Raw genomic sequence first — 19,651 nt, forward strand, 5'->3', positions numbered from 1 at the left:
TTGCAGCAAAAAGGGCTCGCTGTGGGTGGGGGATGGTTGGAAGGAGCATACTACTAAGGTGACTCTTCACTTCAGATTCCTAAATCAGACACATCTGTCGTCCACATGGGGGGTGACAGGGCCCTGCTGACAGCCTGTCGTGTCCCGAGTCCCTCACTTGGCCGTCTCTGTGTCTCTCTCCGTCTGACTCTTCCCCTCCGAATGTCTCTCTCTGACCCCCTTTCCCTGTCTCTTCTGAATCGCATTTTATCTCTGGATTTCCCTTTGGTTCTCTGTGGCTTACTCTCCCTCTTGCTCTTCCTACCTGCTTGCCTGTCCCTCAGACTCTGCCTCCTCTCCTCTCTCTGTCTCCTGGTGCCTGTCACTTTCACTAACTCTCTTCTCTGAACCTTCCCTGCTCTCTCTTGCTTGGGGTTTCAGACCCCCTCTCACTCTCCTTCTGTCTCCTTGGCTCCATCTCCCATTTCTCTCCTCTCTCCACCTGTTTTCTCTCCTCTCTTTCTCTCTGGACCTCTGCCCCCAGCCCTCCCTTTCTCTCCCTCTCTGTTTGCTACTGTCTCACTCTCCCTGTTGTTCTCTCAGATGCTGGAAGCTGCTGCCCACTCTTTTGCAAAATCTGCTGTGCTGTTCCTCAGTGACCAATTTTCTTTCCTACGGTTAGAAAGTAGCTCAGGCCTTAACCCATTTCCTCCGGCATATTCAAGTTAATTAGGTGAGACCAGAATCGCACATTTCAGAACTAGAATAATATTTATTGAGCACCCTGGAGAGAAGGGGATGGAAGATGGAGAGGAACCAGAGCAAGGAGGGGGGTCACCAATGGAGGGAGGGGGAGGGGGAGTAGGCAGAGGGACTCACTCTTAAGGCCACGTGGTCTGGGAATGAGGGCTTCCTTCCTAGTTGCCAGAGGGTACTGGGAAAGGAAGGATCCTGGAGAATGGTCACACATGGGTGTGGGACCAGGAGCATTTCCATAGCTGCCATGCACTTTACAACATGTGGCAGGGTTCCCATCCTTAGGTAGCCTGTCAGGCAGCCCTTGTTTGAGAAACACCTTTTGCTGTACACCCCTCTCTCTTGGCTGTGCTGACCAGCTCAGTGCAGCCCACTGGGCATCAGGAGCCCTCTCCCAGAAGATACATCGCATAGCGCAAGCTGCTTTCTTCTTTTCTCACATGACCTAGAGACAGCCCCTGGTAACCACAGTTCTGCTTTCTGTCTTTACGGATTTACCTAACTGGGTATGTTACAGAAGCATGGTCTTTTATGGTGTGCTTCTTTCACTTAGCATGATGTTTTCAAGGTCCATCCATGTGATAGCAGGTATCAGTATGCCTTTTTTAAATGACTGAATAATATTCCATTGTGTGAATAGACCACATTTTGTTTTTCCTTTCAGCAGTTGATGGACTTTTGGGTTGTATCTACCCTTTGGCTGTTATTAATACTGCTGCTATGAACCTTTGTACACAAGTTTAATGCAACATATATTTTTCATTGTTCTTGGGAATACCTAGGAGTAGATTTGCTGGGCCATATGTTAATTCTGCGTTTAAGGAACATTGCAGTTTTGAGGAGCTGCTAAACTGTTTACCAAAGGGATTGCAGGGTTTTCCATTTCCACCAGTAGTGTATGAAGGCTCCAATTTCTCTACCTCCTTGCCAATACTTGGTATTATGTGGCTTTTTGGTTATAGCTATCCTAGTGTGTATGAAAAGGTATCTCAGTGTGATTTACAGTTTTGGGACTAATATCTAGGTATATAATCCATTTTGAGTTAGTTTTTTATATGGTGTGAGGTAAGGATCCAACTCCCTTCTTTTTCATGTGGCGATCCAGTCAGTTGTCCCAGGACCATTTTGTGAAGAAACTATTCTTTCCCCCACAATTTACTCAGATGCATTTTTAAACTGCTGCAGTTGTCACTTTTCATGGGGGCAGAGTGTTGGAGCTGGACTCCTGGTAAGAGGGAAGCCTTGGGGTGGGCAGGGCCCCACCCATCAGAGACACCCCTCGAGAAGATGGAATAGTCTTTGCCTGGCATGTGCAAAACGGGAGTGCATTGAGGACTGGGGACCTGGATCTGAAGTGACAGTATCCAGGTGTAGTTTCTTGTGGCTGTCCACACTCATCTGTTTCCCACTGCCAGTGGGTATCTCACATGTCACACCCACAGAGGGCATCCTGTTTGAAAGCAAATAGGAGAGCGATTCCCCCTAAATTATGAACCCCTAGATGGCAGGAATTGGGTCCCATTGATCTGTGTCTCTTCAATGACTGATGCATGCTGAATCGTCAGTCAATGCATGTTTGGTTGTTGAAGCTAGGCGCTGAGTTAACAAAAGCTGCTTTCTCTGAGTAACTGGACCTCTTGCAGGGGGGCGGGTCTCTCCTGCTATGGCAGAGTCTCTGCCTGTCTCTCTTTCTTCCTGTGTATTTTTCCCCTGTGTTTGTGATTGCTCCCTCCTCTAAACTCCAGTTGTCTTCAATGTCTGCACCATCCACGTGTTTTGATTTTTATCTTTTCATCTCTATGTCCTGTCTTTGCAGCTCAATCACACCCTTCCTTGATAGCAGGAGCTGTGTGTTGTACTTATTTGGGTCTCCAGTATCTAGTACATGATACTCAGTGTGTAGTTTTGGATGATGAAGTGGTCCCCTGATATTAGTGACCTGCTGCTGAATTTGAGGCCGATGGTTTCAGCCCTTCACCATAGTGGCATTCCACTGGCCAGCTGCTATAGATACCTGCCTGGCATAGGTGGATATTTGGGGAGCCAGTATTTTGAAAGGGCTCAGAGTTTACTGATGTGAAATAAATTAAAGAAAGAAACCGTAGTCCCAGCCTTTTAGTCTGTACCTCCAGGCATGGTAACCTTTACCCTGTGTCCCCCCTGAGACCAACACCAGATGTAGCTGACTATTGAGAGCTGAATGCTGTCTCTGTCTCTTCCTGCATCTCTGTAAATCAAAGGGCATATGAAAGTAAGCCAACTCCCCTCATGGTTGTGCACACCTGCTCAGTGAATCTCATTATGTGATCTCCTCCTTGTTTAGGGCTCTGGCTGACATCTTAAGACAACAGGGACCAATCCCCATAGCACACTGTGAAAGAGAAACTATCTCGGCTATCGATACCTCTCCCAAAGAGAACACGCCGGTCAGATCGTCCTCCAAAAACCACTACACTCCTGTGCGTACGGCCAAGCAGACTCCAGGTAAGTAACAGCTGGGCACCTTGATTCTTTGCTGAGGCTGGTGAGAGGTTTCAGGATGTTTCTGCTCTGGTGGGGCAGGTTGTGGACCATGATGGTGTGATGAGGGACTCTCATGGACAGGCAGGCTGGCAAAAGATTTTTGGGACTCTCTCCCTGGGGTGAGTTTGGAATGGGCAAGACTGCTGCCGGTCAGTGTCTGGGCTGGATGAGGACTGACAATTTCAGGCACTTGTGACCTAGTGAGTGGTTGGTATAATTCTCTTACCGGAAAAGGAGCTTGCAGCATCCATAGCAGGGTATGGCCATCCATTCGCCCACGTGGTGGGAAACTTTAGGCTGAGTAGGATGCTAGATATGTGACAAGAAATTACTGTACCCCAATGTAGAGCCTGCTCAACTATTGGGATCTCAAAGAGCTCCTTCCTGAGGGTGAGAATTAACATCTGTATTTTTGAGTGACCTTTTCCTGTGCTCTGTAGATTCCCTGGATGTATGATGAGTTGCCATAAAATAACAATATGCCTTTTACTTTTTGTACTTATCATAGCTATAACTGTGAAGAAAATGGCAGGGCTTATTTTCCTTGTCTTACGGGTCAATATATGCAGCTCAAAGAAATTTAGTAACTTGAACAAGGTCACTGAGATGTTAATAATAATTTAAAAATCAGTAATAACAGTAATATAACCTAAATATTTATTGGAATCTTGTTCTGTGCCAAGAGTCATGCTGAGCCTTTTACATATATTTTCTTATTTATTCTCCACAGCAATCTTAGAAGTACTTATATTATCCCCATTTTGTGTGAGGAATGGAAAGGTTAAGTAACTTTCCCAAGGTCACATGATTAGTAAGAGAGAAAAACAAGATTCAAGCCAAGGCAAATAGTTAACAACAGTAAGAACTAGGAAACCGTAATATCCTTACCCAGTTAAGGGTATGAATCCAAAATATCTGAGTGGACAGTCTCCTTAACAAGTACAGCTTGGGAAGTCATCTCTTGTAGTGAGTGTTTCCAGATAGCCTCTTACTGGTACTAATCCTAGTCCCAGAGAAAGCTTTTACTTTGATGCTTGGATCTGAAATCTGCACATCTATTGCTCAACAGTTTTCAGAGGATGGGCAATGTGATCTGAACTAAACCTGCAATAAGGATATATAGCCACTAGGTGGCAGTGGGTGTGATCAAATCCAAACTATAGCAAAGGTGCTGATGAGACCAAATTTATTTTCCATTCATTCTTTAATTTTCTTAAATTTATTACGTCAGAAACCTAATATTTGCTTTTAAAATAGCATTCTTAAATCTTTTGAGAACCTAATAAAGGCAGATGACACTCCCTCCTGAAAAATACAAATACATATACATATTCATATTCAATCAACAGTTTGTATATGATTGAGGGGAATTAATAGATTCATCCAAAGTTAAAAACCTCTGCTGTAAAGGTAAAGATGAGGGCTCCACCTTTGCAAAATGTCTAAGATGCATTTTCAGCTTTAATACCATAGGTCCTTAAAACAAGCAATAGAAGGAATCTTGGCAAAAACTTCTGGACCAGTGGTCATCTACATGGCAGCGTTTTAGAATCACCTGAGGAGGTCTTAAAATTGCTGATGCCTGGGCTCCACAGAATCACTAGAATTTCTAGGGATGGTGCTGGCATCACATTAGTGTTTTAAACAATCTCCCCAAGGTGATTCTAACATGCGTCTAGTGGTCAGAATCACTGGTTCTGAAGGATTCATTCATTTTATGAGTGAAGACACTGAAAACCTAAGCCCAATGGTTCTTAAACTTGGCTGCACATTGGAATCAACTGGGGATCTTTAAAAATTAAGGATGTCTGGGCCCCATCCCCAGAGACTGACTGAATTGATGTGGAAGTGTGGCCTGAGAATGGAGGTGGGTGGGGGCTGGTGGCTAACACTTCCCAGGTGATTCTAATGTGGAGCTAAGTTTGAGAGTCACTGGGCTGTGGGAGTTGCATAGAGGCACCATTGTAACTAATCCTTTTTGTCATTGATCACTGTTGAACCCAACTCTGGTATTATCACCACCTTTGAGTAGTGTATTTTGATTTTTCCAAGGATTCATCCTTTGAAGTCATTCTCCACCAGAACCTTGTTGTGACTCTGAAACTTCAGGTCACTCTGGCATCAAAAGCACCCCTGGTTGTTTATCTTCCCCTCTCTCTGTTCGGGTTTTCTTTGTCTCATTCTCAAGCGAGCTGGTTCCCCACTGCTGAACACAGACTGATTAGGTGGACAGTCTGGATTTGCCCTTAAATACCCTTCACAGGGCAGGAAGATTTGTCATTTCTTCTGGTTTCTGTATACCTCGTCTCTTCTAGTGAGCTGAGAAGGAAAGCTTCCAGTTACATGATTCACTTCTATGTTTCAAGAAATTCTCCTCAAATTTCTCAAATTGGAACTCTTCACTTTGCGCTTAGAGATGGGAATAGTATCCTGGCCCAGAAAGCATTCTCAGTTGTGATGCTTAAATTTAAAAGCAATTTCATCACAAGCCGCAGCTTCTACAGATTATAATGGACACAATGCTTTTCCAAGCAGTTGATATCCTTTGCCACAAAATATTGCAGTTTGAGCAGAAGTTGAACAGAACTTTGCATGAGTGTTCAAAGTGGAAATTTACTGTAATTTTGCCACTCATCAAATCAACAAACCATCAATTGTAGGAGTATGGTAGTAAGTTTTTAGGGGGCTATTAAGGGAGATATCCAGCAACACCAACAGGCATCAGAGCATATGAGTAGCTTTGCTACTCAAGATGGTGTTGGTGGGTCAGCCACATCAGCATCACCTGAGAGCTTGTGGGAAATGCAGAATCCCAGACTCTACCTCTCCTGCTGAATGAGAACCTGTAATTTGGTGAAATCACTTGGCAATTAGAGTTTGAGAAGCACTGGGAAAGCTTGAGCATTGAAGTATGTTCCTCAGTTTGCTTTTTGGCCCTGTCTCTTACTATGTATGTGATCTTGGGCAAGATTCTTTGTCTTTCCAAGTTTCTTTGTCTGCTATTGAAGCCAATCATACCTGTAGGTCAGAGTTGTTTTAATGGTATAATCAGTTAAACCAAGTAAAGCACTTAAGACAGGTCCCCATACATAGCAAACACTGACTGTTAGCCATGACCAGGCTATGAAGGCACATCCACAGCTCATGGAAAATGAATCAAATGAATGAAAGAACCAAAGGCAATGCATTGGTGTCCTTAGACCAGGCAGGGCCCATGGGATTGTGTGTGGGATGAAGGTCCCTGGACTCAAGCCTTCCTGTGGTTGGCTCCTGTCTGAGGCACATCCTCTGGGGATGAAAGGAATTTGTGGAGCTTGGTCAGGGTTTTGGACATTGAAAGCACATGCTTTGTTGGTTTGGGATGTGGGTTGAGAGTCCTGCAGTAATAATGAAAACAATAATAACACAAGTACCATAGATTGAGAACTTACTATGTATTGGGTACTCTGCTAGGCACTTTATGCGTAATAGCGAATGGATCCTGTAATATTTCTTAGATGTGAAAGTTTCTAATCCCACATTAGCAGAAAAATCCTGTCCCCTTCTATAAGAGCCTTTTACCCCAACTCTTCCAGGAAGCAGCTTTCCAACTTTAAAGATTGCCCCATAAGGAACACTTGGTTTGAATGTAGAAAACCAGTGAACCCTGCTTTAATCCCTTACCCCTCAAATCTGGCTGCCTGCAGACCCTTGCTACCCAAAGTGTGGTCCATGGACCAGGAGCAACTGCATTCCATTGGAACTTGTTAGAAATGCAGAATCTTGGGCTCTTCCTCAAACCTACTGAATCTGAAGCTGCATTTTAACAAGATCCTCAGAGGATTTGTACACATGATGAAGTTGAAGAAGACCTCTCTTAGCTCAGTGATTATCAGCCCTTGTCACACATTGGAGTTGTGTGGGGAATTCTGAAAATACCAATGCCTGCCCCCATCCCAAAGATTCTAATTTACTTGGTCTATAGTAGGACCTGGCATTGATATTAAAAAAGAAACAAACAAAAACAAACTTCCACGTGGTTCTCCTGTCCAGAAAACTTTGAGAACTGAGCTCTTAAAGTTTTGAGGGAACTGGAGGAAAGCTGTCAAATAAGGAAAAGATTCTTTGAAGATTTTGAATGTAGGTTCACATCAAGATCTGCAAGATGCAGACTGGCTAGGCAGAGTGAGTGTGGCTGTCGTAACCAGTCCTCTCCTTAATGGGTGGGGCTGAAGGGAGTGGAAGACTCAGGCTTATCTGAGAGAGGGAGGAGGTCAGTATGGAGCTTTGAAAGGAGACCCCTGGGCAAAAGCGGGCACAAGTAGAAATAAAAAGATTGTTTAGGGGACCAAGCGAAGTCATGAAGAGATGCACCGTACCTAGCGTTGCAGTTCCCTGAGTCCAGCACCTTAGAGGCTTGCTGTGGGCTTGCTTTTCGTAGATGGGGAGCAGGAGAGACCCAGCATGTTTGCCTGACCTCACCCCCTCCTAAAGAGCCTGTCCTGGGGCCTCTGGGGAGAGTGGGGTGCCCATTCCTGGCAGTAGCAATGAGATCATGTGCTGAGGTTACAGAATGTTGATGTCCAACTTCACTTTATCAAGAGTGACATCATCTGGAGACAATAAATATTCATGCCCATCTACATACCACTGTGAGTTGTATAAAAGAACAGCCAGTCATCCTGCCTGTTGTCAAAGCCATATCCATTAATGGCAGACAAAGGGAGCCAAGGGTCATGACTCTCTAAGCTTCATGGAGACCCAGAATGGAGGCTGCACAGGTGGCAGAGGAGCACTCTGCCACAGTCCTGCATGCCCTGGTTCCCATCCCCCCACGCCTCTCTGACCTCAACCCCTACTACCTTCTGCTTCCCTCCTAGGCTGCAGACACACTAGTCTTCTCCAGACACACTGTTTCTTCTCATGCTGTTTGTATTCTTGCATTGAGATATTTCCCCCTTTCTGTTTCTGTAGCCCCAAATTTTCTAGCACTAGGTATTTGTTTTGTGGAATCTGTTGCTCAAGCAGCACTGTTTTGGAGAGGCCTTTCCTAACCTTCTCTGTTACCATCTCCGGCTTTACTTTTCTCAGAGCACTTACATCATCTAACATCATACATTTGTCGGTTCATGTGTTTATTATCTGTCACCATCAGAATTTAAGCCCCAGGTACACAAGGGTTTTATCTTCCTATCATTGTGGTATCCTAGGACCAAGAACATCACTTGGAAAATCCTAGTTGCTCAAGAGCTGTTTGTTCAGGGAATGATGAAAGATGACATAGTCCTTTACTTGGATGGGCGTAGGATCCAAGCACAGATGCTGGTTATGCAGCTGCTGCATGCTGAAGAACTCCCTTCAAGACTGCATCCCATGTAGTAGCCCTCTCTGTAAAGTAAGTATGGTGTCCGTCACTTGCATAAACCATAGGCTGGTCACCAGCCAGCTGGTTGAGCCAGAAGGTCCTGGTATCCGGTGCCCAGTTTTTTTTGTTTGTCTGTTTTGTTTTTTTTTTTTAATGGAGTCTTGCCCTGTCGCCCAGGCTGGAGTGCAGTGGCGCGATCTCAGCCCATTGCAACCTCCACCTCCTGGGTTCAAGTGATTCTCCTGCCTCAGCCTCCCAAGTAGCTGGGACTACAGGAGCCCGCCACCAGATCCAGTTAATCTTTGCATTTTTAGTAGAGACGAAGTTTCACCATGTTGGCCAGGATGGTCTTGATCTCTTGACCTCGTGACCCACCCACCGTGGCCTCCCAAAGTGCTGGGATTACAGGCGTGAACCACTGTGCTTGGCCTGCCCAGGCTTCTTACTGAGCCCTGTGGCCCCTCTCCTCCTATCTGGGGCTGACCCAGAACTCCATGGGTCAGCGCAGCCAGGGACTGGGAGCTTCGCTTCCATGGCTGGGCTCAGAGGGACTGTTACCCAGGGTGCCCTTCCAGTTCTTTCCACCCTGCTAAGAAAGCACGGGTGGCTTGGAAGCCCAGGCAACCCAGAGAGTCCCTGTTCCCAGGGACAGGTTTAGGGCTGCCCATGAAGCCAGAAAACCTGGGCTGTGCAGCTGAACTGGGAAACTTCTGGTGAGTCTCAGCTTCTCACAGGAAGTAGGACTTTTCTTTTCTCAGTCATCCCCAAAGAAACAGAACTGTTGTTCTGGAGGAGTCTGAGATGATAGCCTCATAAGGTTTTGGAGCCCTATGGAGATGGTGAGATTAGCTGGCCAGAATTATGCTTGGCCTGTGAGGAAACTGAGGCACACAGGGGTCACTTAAGTGGGAGGTGACATCAATGTAGGTATAAAGCAATCGAAGCGCATCTGACACAAAAGCGAGACAATTTTAAGTCTTCACTCTCCAATATATTGGTTCCTAGCCACATGCGACTGTTGAGCACTAATTGTTAAAATTAATTTTACCTATTTATTTTTATTTTGTAAGTTTTTATGTTTTTAGAGACAGAGTCTTGCTCTGTCATCCAGGCTGGAGTGCAGTGGTGCAATCTCAGCTCACTGCAACCTCCACCTCCCGGGTTCAAGAGATTCTCCTGCCTCAGTCTCCTGAGTAGCTGGGATTACAGGTGTGCATCACCACCCCCAGCTAATTTTTGTATTTTTAATAGAGACAGGGTTTCACCATGTTGGTCAGGCTAGTCTCAAACTCCTGAGCTCGTGAGCTGCTCGCCTTCGCCTCCCAAAGTGCTGGGATTACAGGCGTGAGCCGCCGTGCTCGGTGAGGAGTGTATTTAAGTGTGATGATCTGATTTCTGTTTTCTGATTGCCAAGTAGTGGACAGCACAGGTTAATGAGAGAACTTTCTATGACTTTCCCTGACTTCTCTTTCCACAGGAAGACACCCTCCTATAGAGGGGCCAAGGTGATGTAGAAAGAGCTTGTAGGTTTCACAGTAAGACAAACCAAAGACCAAATTGCCCCTTGGTTTGGACAGCCTGGACCTTAGTCCAGGGCTCTTAAATAGGAGTTGGCAAACGTTTTCCAGAAAGGGCCAGATCGTCAATATTTTAGGCTCTGCAGGCCATAAGATCTCTGTGGCAACTACCCAGTTCTGCCCTTGAAGCACAAGAGCAGCCATAGATGATAAGTAAATGAATGGATGCGTGTTTTCATAAAATTTGGACATATGTTTCCATAAAATGTCATTTACAGTAGCAGGTAACGGGCAGGGTTTGGCCTGTGGGCTCTAGTTTGTCAGCCCCTCTCTGAAAGTCCCAGCCATCTTCCATGCGGTATTTCCTTCCACGTGGAATGTGACTAGAGACACGTCCTTCTCTGGGATCCCATAGGGGAATGGATGGCAAACACAGAGCTGTGAGCCCAGGAGGTGCCCTGCCAATGTCAGGTCCCATTCCCCTCTTTCCTTCCCTGAGGCTGTAGCCAAGGTATTGCTTGATTCTGATTTTATAGCTGGTTGAACCAGGGTTCATGAGGCCTGATGAATGAATCATGTTGCAGCAGGGCCCAGGGTCTCTAGGGTGCAAATGGAGAGGCAGCAGGTGTAGACAACTGTTCTTTGCAAAGCTCGGCTGTCAGGGAGAGAAGAGGCGGGAAGGGTGTGAAACAGGGTGTGCTCATCCTATGTGAGGGGTGAAGGGTGGGGGGAAATATGAAAACATGCCCATGCTGGAGAAAGAGAGCTGGTGGAGAAGGGTACAGAGGGGAGGGGTGCAGGAAGGGAGGGACCTGGGCAGGCCTTGGTTCTCCTCAGCCATGACCTTCTCAGTGGCTTTTTTCTATCACTTAGGTGATGAGGTTGAAAGCATGGTTATTAAATTTATAAGTGACACATCACTGGGAGGGATGGTCAGCACCCCTCAGATGATGACAAACTCGGGATTCAACATGTCTTGCATGGCGCAGATACACCAAGTTCCATTTTATTTATTTATTTTTTATTTCGAGATGGAGTTTCACTCTTGTCACCCAGGCTGGAGTGCAGTGGCGTGATCTCAGCTAACTGCTATCTCTGCCTCCCAGGTTCAAGCGGTTCTCCTGCCTCAGCCTCCCAAGTAGCTGGAATTACAGGTGCACACCACCACGCCTGGCTTTTTTTTTTTTTTTTTTTTTTTTTTTTTTGTATTTTTAGCAGAGACGGGGTTTCACCATGTTGGCCAGGCTGGTTTCTAACTCCTGACCTCAGGTGATCTGCCTGCTTCAGCCTCCCAAAGTGCTGGGATTACAGGCGTGAGCCACCACGCCCAGCCCCATTTTCCATTTAACAAGACCCCCTCTGCTGGCCAAAGCTCACCTTTCCTTCTGTGCCTGGGACCCCATCTGTTCCTGGTCCACAGAATCTTGCTCTCTGGACTTCCACCCTTCCCCTCCTGCGCCCTTCTCTAGCAGCTCTGCTCCTCCAGCCTGGGGATATGTTCAGCCTCTTCACCCTCACGTAGGATGAGCCCACCCTCCTTTTCACACTCTTCCTGTCTCTTCTCTCCCCGACAGCCAAACTTTGCAAAACACTTATCTACACCTGCTGCCTCTCCTTCAGCTCCCCTTACCTCCTCCTCAGCCCATCTCCTCCGCTCCACTACCAGGCACCCTCCTTCCCACAGTTTTGGGGGGTTCTGGGAACAGCTTCTTTTTTGGCTCTGCCATCAGAAACCCTGCCACTCCTTCCATGGACACCAAAGCTCTGCCTACTCAAACACATTTGGGTCCTTATGGGGACTCACTCTCTGTCTTCTATAGCTCCCCAGCCATGCTCTGCTCTTTGCTTGGTCTGGAATGTTCTCTTTTCGTTCACTTTCCCTCAGCCTAGCCTGCTCTTCCTTATCTCCCAGGCTCCCGCGTGGCTCTCACTTCCCTGGCTCCCTGCCCGGGGGCCTTTCTCCACTGGTCCTTGGTGGCATCCTGGGCTCCTCCGTCCTTGCAGAGAGGCAGTGGAGCGGGCTGACTAGGACTGTTGGCCCCAGTTTGGAACCCCGCTCTGCCTTCACTAGCTGGAAGTAGGGCTTGATCACTTTACTTAACCTTCCGTGCTTCAGTTTCCTGATCTGTAAACTGGGTATAAACTCTCCTACTTGTGTTGTGAAGATTGACTTAACCACCTCTGGGCTGTCTGGTTTCTCTAAGGTGTGTCTGGTATCAGCATAGCTCACCTGACAATCTCTAATCCCTGGCTCAGAGCCTGGCATACTCAAGCTGTCCAGTAAGTACTCACAAAGTGACTAGCAATGATGTGAACCCCATATTTGGGTCAGAAGTCCCAGTAAGTCCCACGGGGAACAGTAGGTCATATGGCAGAGTCACGAAGGTTTAGGATGAAAGAACAGAGCAAGTTGAGATGTCTGGAAACAGCTATGTCTTTAGACTGCTTTGAAACAACCTGGAATCCAGATCCAAGGTGGTGGCATGCCAGCTGTTTTCATGGCTGGAGTGTGATGCCTGAGTTCCTGTGTCTTGTTGTAGACACTCGTGCCCCTGGCCTGCCAGAGAGAGTGATACGGCTCCCAGGAAAGCTGGAGAACGCTGTTCTTCAAATCATATTAGCAACTAACAGTACTTTTAAAATGCTTTCCATGGACTGACCTATCTAATTCTTGTAACAAGCCCATGAGGCAGGTACCATTATAATGCCCACTTCATAGATGAGGAAACAGGTTCAATGGGGATTAGAAGCTTAACCAAGGTCACACAGCCAGGAGGGGGTGCTGACTGATCTGGGCGCTAAACACAGACCCTAGAGCTCAAGCCCTGAGGTCAAATTGACCAGAGGTACAGACAGGGCCCCGGGAGCCCCCTCCAGCTACGTGAATCCTGTTCTGAAGCCGTGTGTCTACACTTCTCATTTGTCCCAGTGCATGGATCTAGGGCTGTGGGGAGGACACCAGAGGAGGCCACTGCTTGCTCAGCACAAGGGCAGGCGTTCTCCTGATGTGAGCCCCTCTGCTCCAGGTCGGACCACCTTGCCATGCAACGAGCTGCTCACTCCGTGATGATTTTAAGCAAAGGAGAGGAGCAACTTGGGCATTTCCAGCTTGAGAGGAAGGCTGGCCTAGCAACTTCCAAGGTCCTACTTTTCGTGTGTCATAATAGAAACAGTAGCTGGGATTTGTTGAGGGCTGACTGTCCACGCCCTGGGCTAGGAGCCTTCATTATCATAGTCCTCGTGTAGGCAGTGTCCCCCTCCCAGTAGATAGGAGGCTACAGCGACATGGAGTGATGGGCAGCCTGCCCGCAGGCGCAGGGCTTGTCGATGTCAGGGTGTGGTCTGACCTAGGCAGCCCAGTGTCCAGGACTCACTCTCTCACTGGCTGCACTTCTCTTGGGATTCTGTGACCCAGGGTCAGAGCCCAGGCGAAACTTATGGCCAAATCACCATTCTGTTCTCAGTGCCAGGCTTGTCCTGCGAGGAAGCGCATCATTTTATGCCATTCAGGAAGGGAGTGCTAAGCACCTGTGTTCTTCTCCTGGGACATAAGTGGCTTTTCTCAGCATAGGATTGCCTTAAGGACAGGTGTGCCCAGAAGCAAAGCTTTCCAGAAGCCAGAGGAGCTGCCCTTGTGATGATGGGACCAGCTGTGCCCAACTTGTCCCACCCTTAGGGCTTCGTCCTGCCTGGTGGCTGCACAGGCTTGGCCAGAAAGGACCCATCCCCTGCCCCTCCCATCAAGGAGGCAGCCCGAATTGGGGACAGAGAGAGCCTACTTTCCCCACGTGGCCGGGGGAGAAAGGAGAACCACGGAGCTGGCTCACTAATCACTCACCCCTACACCCAGGGAGCCAGAGGATTTAGAATATGGCCGGGCTGTTCCCAAAATGAGGTGCCGGTCAGAGGGAAAGCCAAAGCACGGAGGACAGGGTTAGAATTCGCAATTACCTCCATGAGTTGGCAAAACGAAGGAAGCAACAGAGCGCGGTGCAGTGACAGGAGCGAGAGGGTGCTGGGCAAGGGCGGCCCTGAGCAGCAGGAAGTGAGGGAGAGCAGCCATATGCTCCTGGCCCCCAGGGATGTGGAGCGTGGAGCTCTCACCAGGAGGGAGAGCCCAGCCTCCATCTGAGTGGCCTTTAGCGGTCTTTTCCTCATGGGCTTAATGTCCGTTGCCTACAGAGTAAAGGCTATTTGGGAAACCAAAGATGGAGGAGGAGACGGCATCCGTAGCTAGATGTGCCACACCAACTGTGTACTGAACACTTCGTTAGGGCCTACAGGAGCTGAAAGGTGGATTAGACACAGTCCTGGCCTCAGGGGCTTAACTCCAGGAGCAGAAAGACGAGACAATACAAGAAAATAATTGACTCTACAGGTGCCCCTCCAGAATTATAGGCCACATGCTCAGAACGCTCAGAGGGAGGTTGTGTGGTCGGAGTGATCATCACCAAGTGCTTGAAGGGCAGGTAAGATTGAATGGGCGAGGAGGAGAGTGGAGGGTACTCCTGGAGGATGGAAAACGGGGGTCCACAAGAGCCTGGAAAACGGCGATGCATAAGGGACTAAAGGTTTGCAGAAGGGCACAGTGATCAATTCCTTTGGAAAGATTGGTTGTGGCTTTTCTGTAAACAGACAGGAGTGATTAAAGATTTGGGACAACAGCCAGGAAGGAACTGGAACTCTGTGTTCTAGTGTGGAAGGCTGCTCTGAGCAGGAGGAATTTTTTTTTTTTTTCATTAAACATATGGACTGTGTCCCTGGTGGGGTGGAAGATGTGTGGGAGCAGGTAGGGGTCGCTGCTGTGGAGGTGGCAAATGGCTCAGTTGTTCTAATGGCGTGGGAATGGGGCAAGGTTGGACCCTCCAAAGGGGCTTGGAGAGGAGGCTTTTGGGGGCCTACAGTGAGAAACCCACAGAGGAGGAGATGTGAGGAGCATAGTTCATTAGCAGCACCTTGAGAGCCAGAGAAGGAGGATGGCAAGATGGGACTCCAGATTCATTGATTCCTTCGTTCATTCAAAAGTGATTTTGGTCCTTTATTGGATGTCAAGCGTCAGCAATACAGTGAACAAAACAAAGTCCCTAGTCTCATGGTGTTTACATTCAGCTGGAGGAGGCAGAAAATAAACCCACGGACATATACTTGAAATCAGGCAATAAGGCTTTGAAGAGAAAGAGAGCAGGAAAAGAAAGTAGGAAGTGATGAGAAGTGAAATGAAGGAACCTGATTTGAGGAAGGACCACTGAAGCCGAGACCCAAATGACTGAGCCATGTGTGACCATCTGGAGAAAGGGTGTTTAGGGCAGAAGTGAAATCCTGCTTGGTATGAAGAAGAGACCAGAGTGGTTGGAGTAGAGAGAGCCAGGATAGAGACATGTTAAGGGCTAGAAGTCAGAGATGAGGGGCCTTATGGGTCACACTACATCTTGAGTTTCATTCTGGATGTCATGGGAGTTCTTGTAGGGCTTATAGCGAGTAGAGATATGATCTGACATGTGGTTTTCATAATCACTCTGGCCACCATCTTGAGACTAGATTCTGTTTTTTGTTTTTGTTTTTTTTTTGAGATGCAGTCTTGCTGTGTCACCCAAGTTGGAGTGTGCAGTGGTGCAATCTCTGTTCACTGCAACCTCCGCCTCTGGGGTTCAAGCAATTCTCCTGCCTAAGCCTCTCAAGTAGCTGGAATTACAGGCTCGTGCCACCATGCCTGGCTAATTTTTGTATTTTTAGTAGAGACAGGGTTTCACCATGTCGACCAGGCTGGTCTTAAACTCCTGACCTCAAGTGATCCGCCCGTCTCAGCCTCCTAAAATGCTGGGATTACAGGTGTGAGCCGTTGCACCTGGCTGAGACTAGATTCTGGAGGGGCAAAGGTGGCGGAGGGGAGGTGGCCTAGGAAGTGGAAACTATTGCATCACCCGGGTGATGGGAGGGAGATGGGACTTGGACTGGAATGTCAGTGATGGAAGATGTGAGAAAGACTTTCTTCAGGGTTTATTTTTCTTAACTTGTTATTTTGAACAATTTCAAACCAATGGAATATTTGCAAGAATGATACAGTGAACACCCATACCCCCTTACTAGTTGTTAACGTTGTAACATATTTGCTTCTCTTTATCTCTCTGTCTTCCTCCCTCTCCTTTTCCTTAACATCATCATCATCGTTGTCACCACCACCACCACCATCATCATCCTCACCATCACCAATACCATCATCATCCTCACCATGACCATCACCACTGCCATTGACATCACCACCACCATCATCACCATCACCACCATTATCATCATCACCACTGCTGTCAACACCATCATCACCACGACCATCATCACCATCATCATCATCATCATTTTTGAACCATGTGAGAACAAGTTGCCAATATTATGACTCTTCATTCAGGACGACTTCAATAGGTATCTTCTCAGTTCAAGGATGTTCACTTACATAACTATGATACAATTACCAGGTTTATGAAATTTGTCATTGTTTTAATACTAATATCTAAAGGAGAGTTCAGGATTTATTTGTAGGTATTTGCTAATGGATTGTATGGAGGGTACGAGGGGAAGACAGGAGTCACAGATGATTCCAAGGACTTTTGGCCAGACCAAACAGTTGATGAGCATGACCAGGTCAATCCAAGGACTTGAAATGAATAGCTGAGAGGTCTTACCCAAAGGAAAATTGGAAATGTTTGAGTTTTGGCAGATGAGCTGAGCTGGGGTGTTCAGTTCTCCAGTGGACGTTGCCAGAGTAATTACAAGGGAAGTCAAAGAATCTGGTCTCTCCCTCCCCATCCCCGGTTTCTCTTTCTCTCTCTCTCTCTCTCTCTCTCTCTCTCTCTCTCTCTCACACACACACACACACACACACACACACACACACACACCCCGCATGTACGTATACAGACTTTCTTCTCCCAGAGATCTAGACCTGAGTGTAGCCATGGGCATATCTCATCAGAATGATAAGCAAATCAATAATGATGCATTGGACTGTAAGTGCCTTGAGTACAGGGATATGTCTGCTTTGCTCACTCTATTCACAGTGCCAGTGCATTTTGCACAGATCTTGGCACTTAGTAGGCATTCAATAACTATTTCTTGAATAAACAAGTGACAGAATGAATGCCCTTATTTAATACGTTATACAGAGTGCAACGATTATAATTATGTATGCTCACAAATAACTGAATTATCTAAAGTAAAAGTTACTGCTACAGAAGAGAAGTTTCTCTCTTCTGTGAAAGAAGTCAGTTCAGGGATTCAGGGAGAATATGGGCTCTACAGTGTCCAGGCAACCAGATTCCTTCTATCTGGTTGCTCTGGCTTCCTAAGCACGTGCCTTCCATGTCATAGCCCAAGATGGCTGCCTGAGCTCATGCCATCATGTCTGCGTTCCAGACATCAGGAGGGAGAAAGGACCAAGAAGATCATACCTCGTTTCTTTAAGAACACTTGTTTGAAGTTGTCATACCACTCCTACTTACATCACATTAACTAATGTGGTTTTTCTTTTCAGTGGCCTTGTGATCAATTAAAATATGGGAGTTCTTTGACTAGAGAAGAATGGCTATTGGGGGCTATTAATGATTTGTGTCACAGTGTGGCCCACAAGGGGACTGTGTAATGCTTCTACCACAAACCGTTGGTATTAAAAAATATCAGGTGAAGTGAGCTGCTGTGGCTGTCCTCTGTGCTTTCCACTGTAAATATGAGCAGTTATGTCGCTAGATGGACTGTGAGTGCTTAGAATGGGGAGGGTCACTGGGAGACTCCTGGAGAGATTAGTGAAAGCTCTAAGGATGCTGTTTTTCCCTACTTTTGGTTCTGATATGGAGGCTGCAGAATGTTACCCCACAACAAAGCCAAGGCATTGGGGAAATCCCTGCAGAGAGTCCCTAAGTCTGTGTCCCAACTGAGCCTCCTGAAATCAGAGGCTGCGTCCTATTCATCTTTGGGTCCCTGCACCTGCACTCTCAGGAGCTCTGGACTCTCCTGTCCTGTGTCTCCTCGCCCATATGTGTTGAGTGAAGATAAGGCAATCACTTTAGATTATTCAGAAGTTTTACAAGATGCAACAAAGCCAGTTTTTCCTAACTAGAACATTTGTGAAAGTTTAGCCAGAGCTATCTAGAAAGTATGTTGATATGGACGTTGCCTCAGCTCCATCCGCCTACCCCTGCGAGGAGGCAGGAGCAGCCTCTCCCAGATCAAGACCCCGCTGTGGGTGGGCCGCCAGCTAGCAGCTGGGCGAAGGCCACATTTATCCCTGCCCTGCTTCTTTATTCTGCTCTGTATTCAAGCTTCGTATTTCCCTTTGTGTGTGTTTAGCTTAGGGATTTATCACCGTGGCTTAGATCTGTGATGAAATAGATAAGCCTGCACTTTAATACACGTGGCGTTTCTTTCCCCATAAGAATTAGATTAAAGGAAATGGGGCCTCTGAGGAGGCGGGGCAGGGCAGGAAGGTGGAGCTGGGTGGCCGAGGCAGGCAGAGACACTGCCAGCCAAGCCTTGGAGAGGCTGGGGTGCACTTCGGGGCCATTTAAGAGTGAGCCACAGAGAAGCAGCCTCGTGTTTTCCACAGAAAGAAGCTAAAACAGCAAAGTCTTGTAAGTGCTGTGGAGCCCTCCTGAGTGGCCAGTTTGGGGTTGCTGGCTTCACTCCTTGTGGTGCAGCTACAAGCATGCTTCCTGCAATTATTTGCAAGAGTCCTGGGTGAGAGTTCAGGGCTTGCAGGTCTTCCTCGGGCCACAACTTCAGCTCCAGGGCAACCAGAGAAGCACTGTCATCGTAGAAAGAGAGGGTGAGGCATGTAACCTTGAGCAAAGACACTGCTTAACCTTGCTGGGTCTCTGCTTGCTTTTCTCTACTTAAGAATACTCATATCAACTTGTTAGACCCTCGTAGAGGTACGAGACAATAAACATAAAGCAACAAAGACAGTCCTGGAACATGTTTGATGTGCACAAAATGGTAGCCCTTTGTATTATTACTATTAGGGAGCTAGGATCAGTGTCACACAATAATCCAGGTGATCTCAGGCCATTTCCTCCATAGTTTTCAGGACCGGAAACTCTGCAATGCCCTGTGGTCCATGTGAGCCCTCTTCCTAAGAGGCTGTTACATGGGAATCCTGTAAGGTCAGTAATATTATTATTTCTATTACCACCTTGGTAATAGAGTCTTAGGAAGGCTGACTCACTTGTTCAAGGTCAAACAGTTTCTTGTGGTGGTGCCTGCAGTGGTTACAAGAGCTTATAAGATAGGTTCTCCCAACTCCCGTGGTTGGGTATTGCCTCCCACCCTTCTATTATTTTTTATCCATAGCCGTAAGGTCACTGTCACCAAGAATAGCAAAGAGCAAAAAGAGAGAGAGAAAGAGGGAGAGAGAGAGAGGAGGCTAAGGAAATGACCTGCATTTTCAGTTTTCATTAGCAGGCTCACGCTCTCAGTGCTGCTCTGGGCAAACACCTGGCTCCTTAGATTTTCCTGTAAAAGAAGCTTGTGGTGACTTTGAGGGTAA

General features: G+C 47.2%; 1 protein-coding gene across 3 annotated transcripts in view, besides 1 other annotated feature; it reads left to right on the top strand.

The window, feature by feature from the left end:
* The window catches only part of SHISA6 (shisa family member 6), a 322,851-nt gene that overhangs the window by 19,095 nt on the left and 284,105 nt on the right, over positions 1-19,651 (top strand). For all 3 annotated transcript variants that reach the window (NM_207386.4, NM_001173462.2, NM_001173461.2), the window contains exon 2: positions 3,059-3,219. In NM_207386.4, the coding sequence (NP_997269.2) occupies positions 3,059-3,219 (161 nt within the window). The remainder of the gene's footprint in view (positions 1-3,058; positions 3,220-19,651) is intronic.
* Positions 13,479-13,980: an enhancer, noted in NCBI's record as "H3K4me1 hESC enhancer chr17:11177103-11177604 (GRCh37/hg19 assembly coordinates)". NCBI's record gives its function as "activates a minimal SCP1, AML or CMV promoter by ChIP-STARR-seq in naive H9 embryonic stem cells {active_cell/tissue: H9 hESC(naive)}" and the evidence as "EXISTENCE:reporter gene assay evidence [ECO:0000049][PMID:30033119]".

Source organism: Homo sapiens, chromosome 17 (genome assembly GCF_000001405.40).
Source record: "Homo sapiens chromosome 17, GRCh38.p14 Primary Assembly".
Classification (NCBI taxonomy): Eukaryota; Metazoa; Chordata; class Mammalia; order Primates; family Hominidae; genus Homo; species Homo sapiens.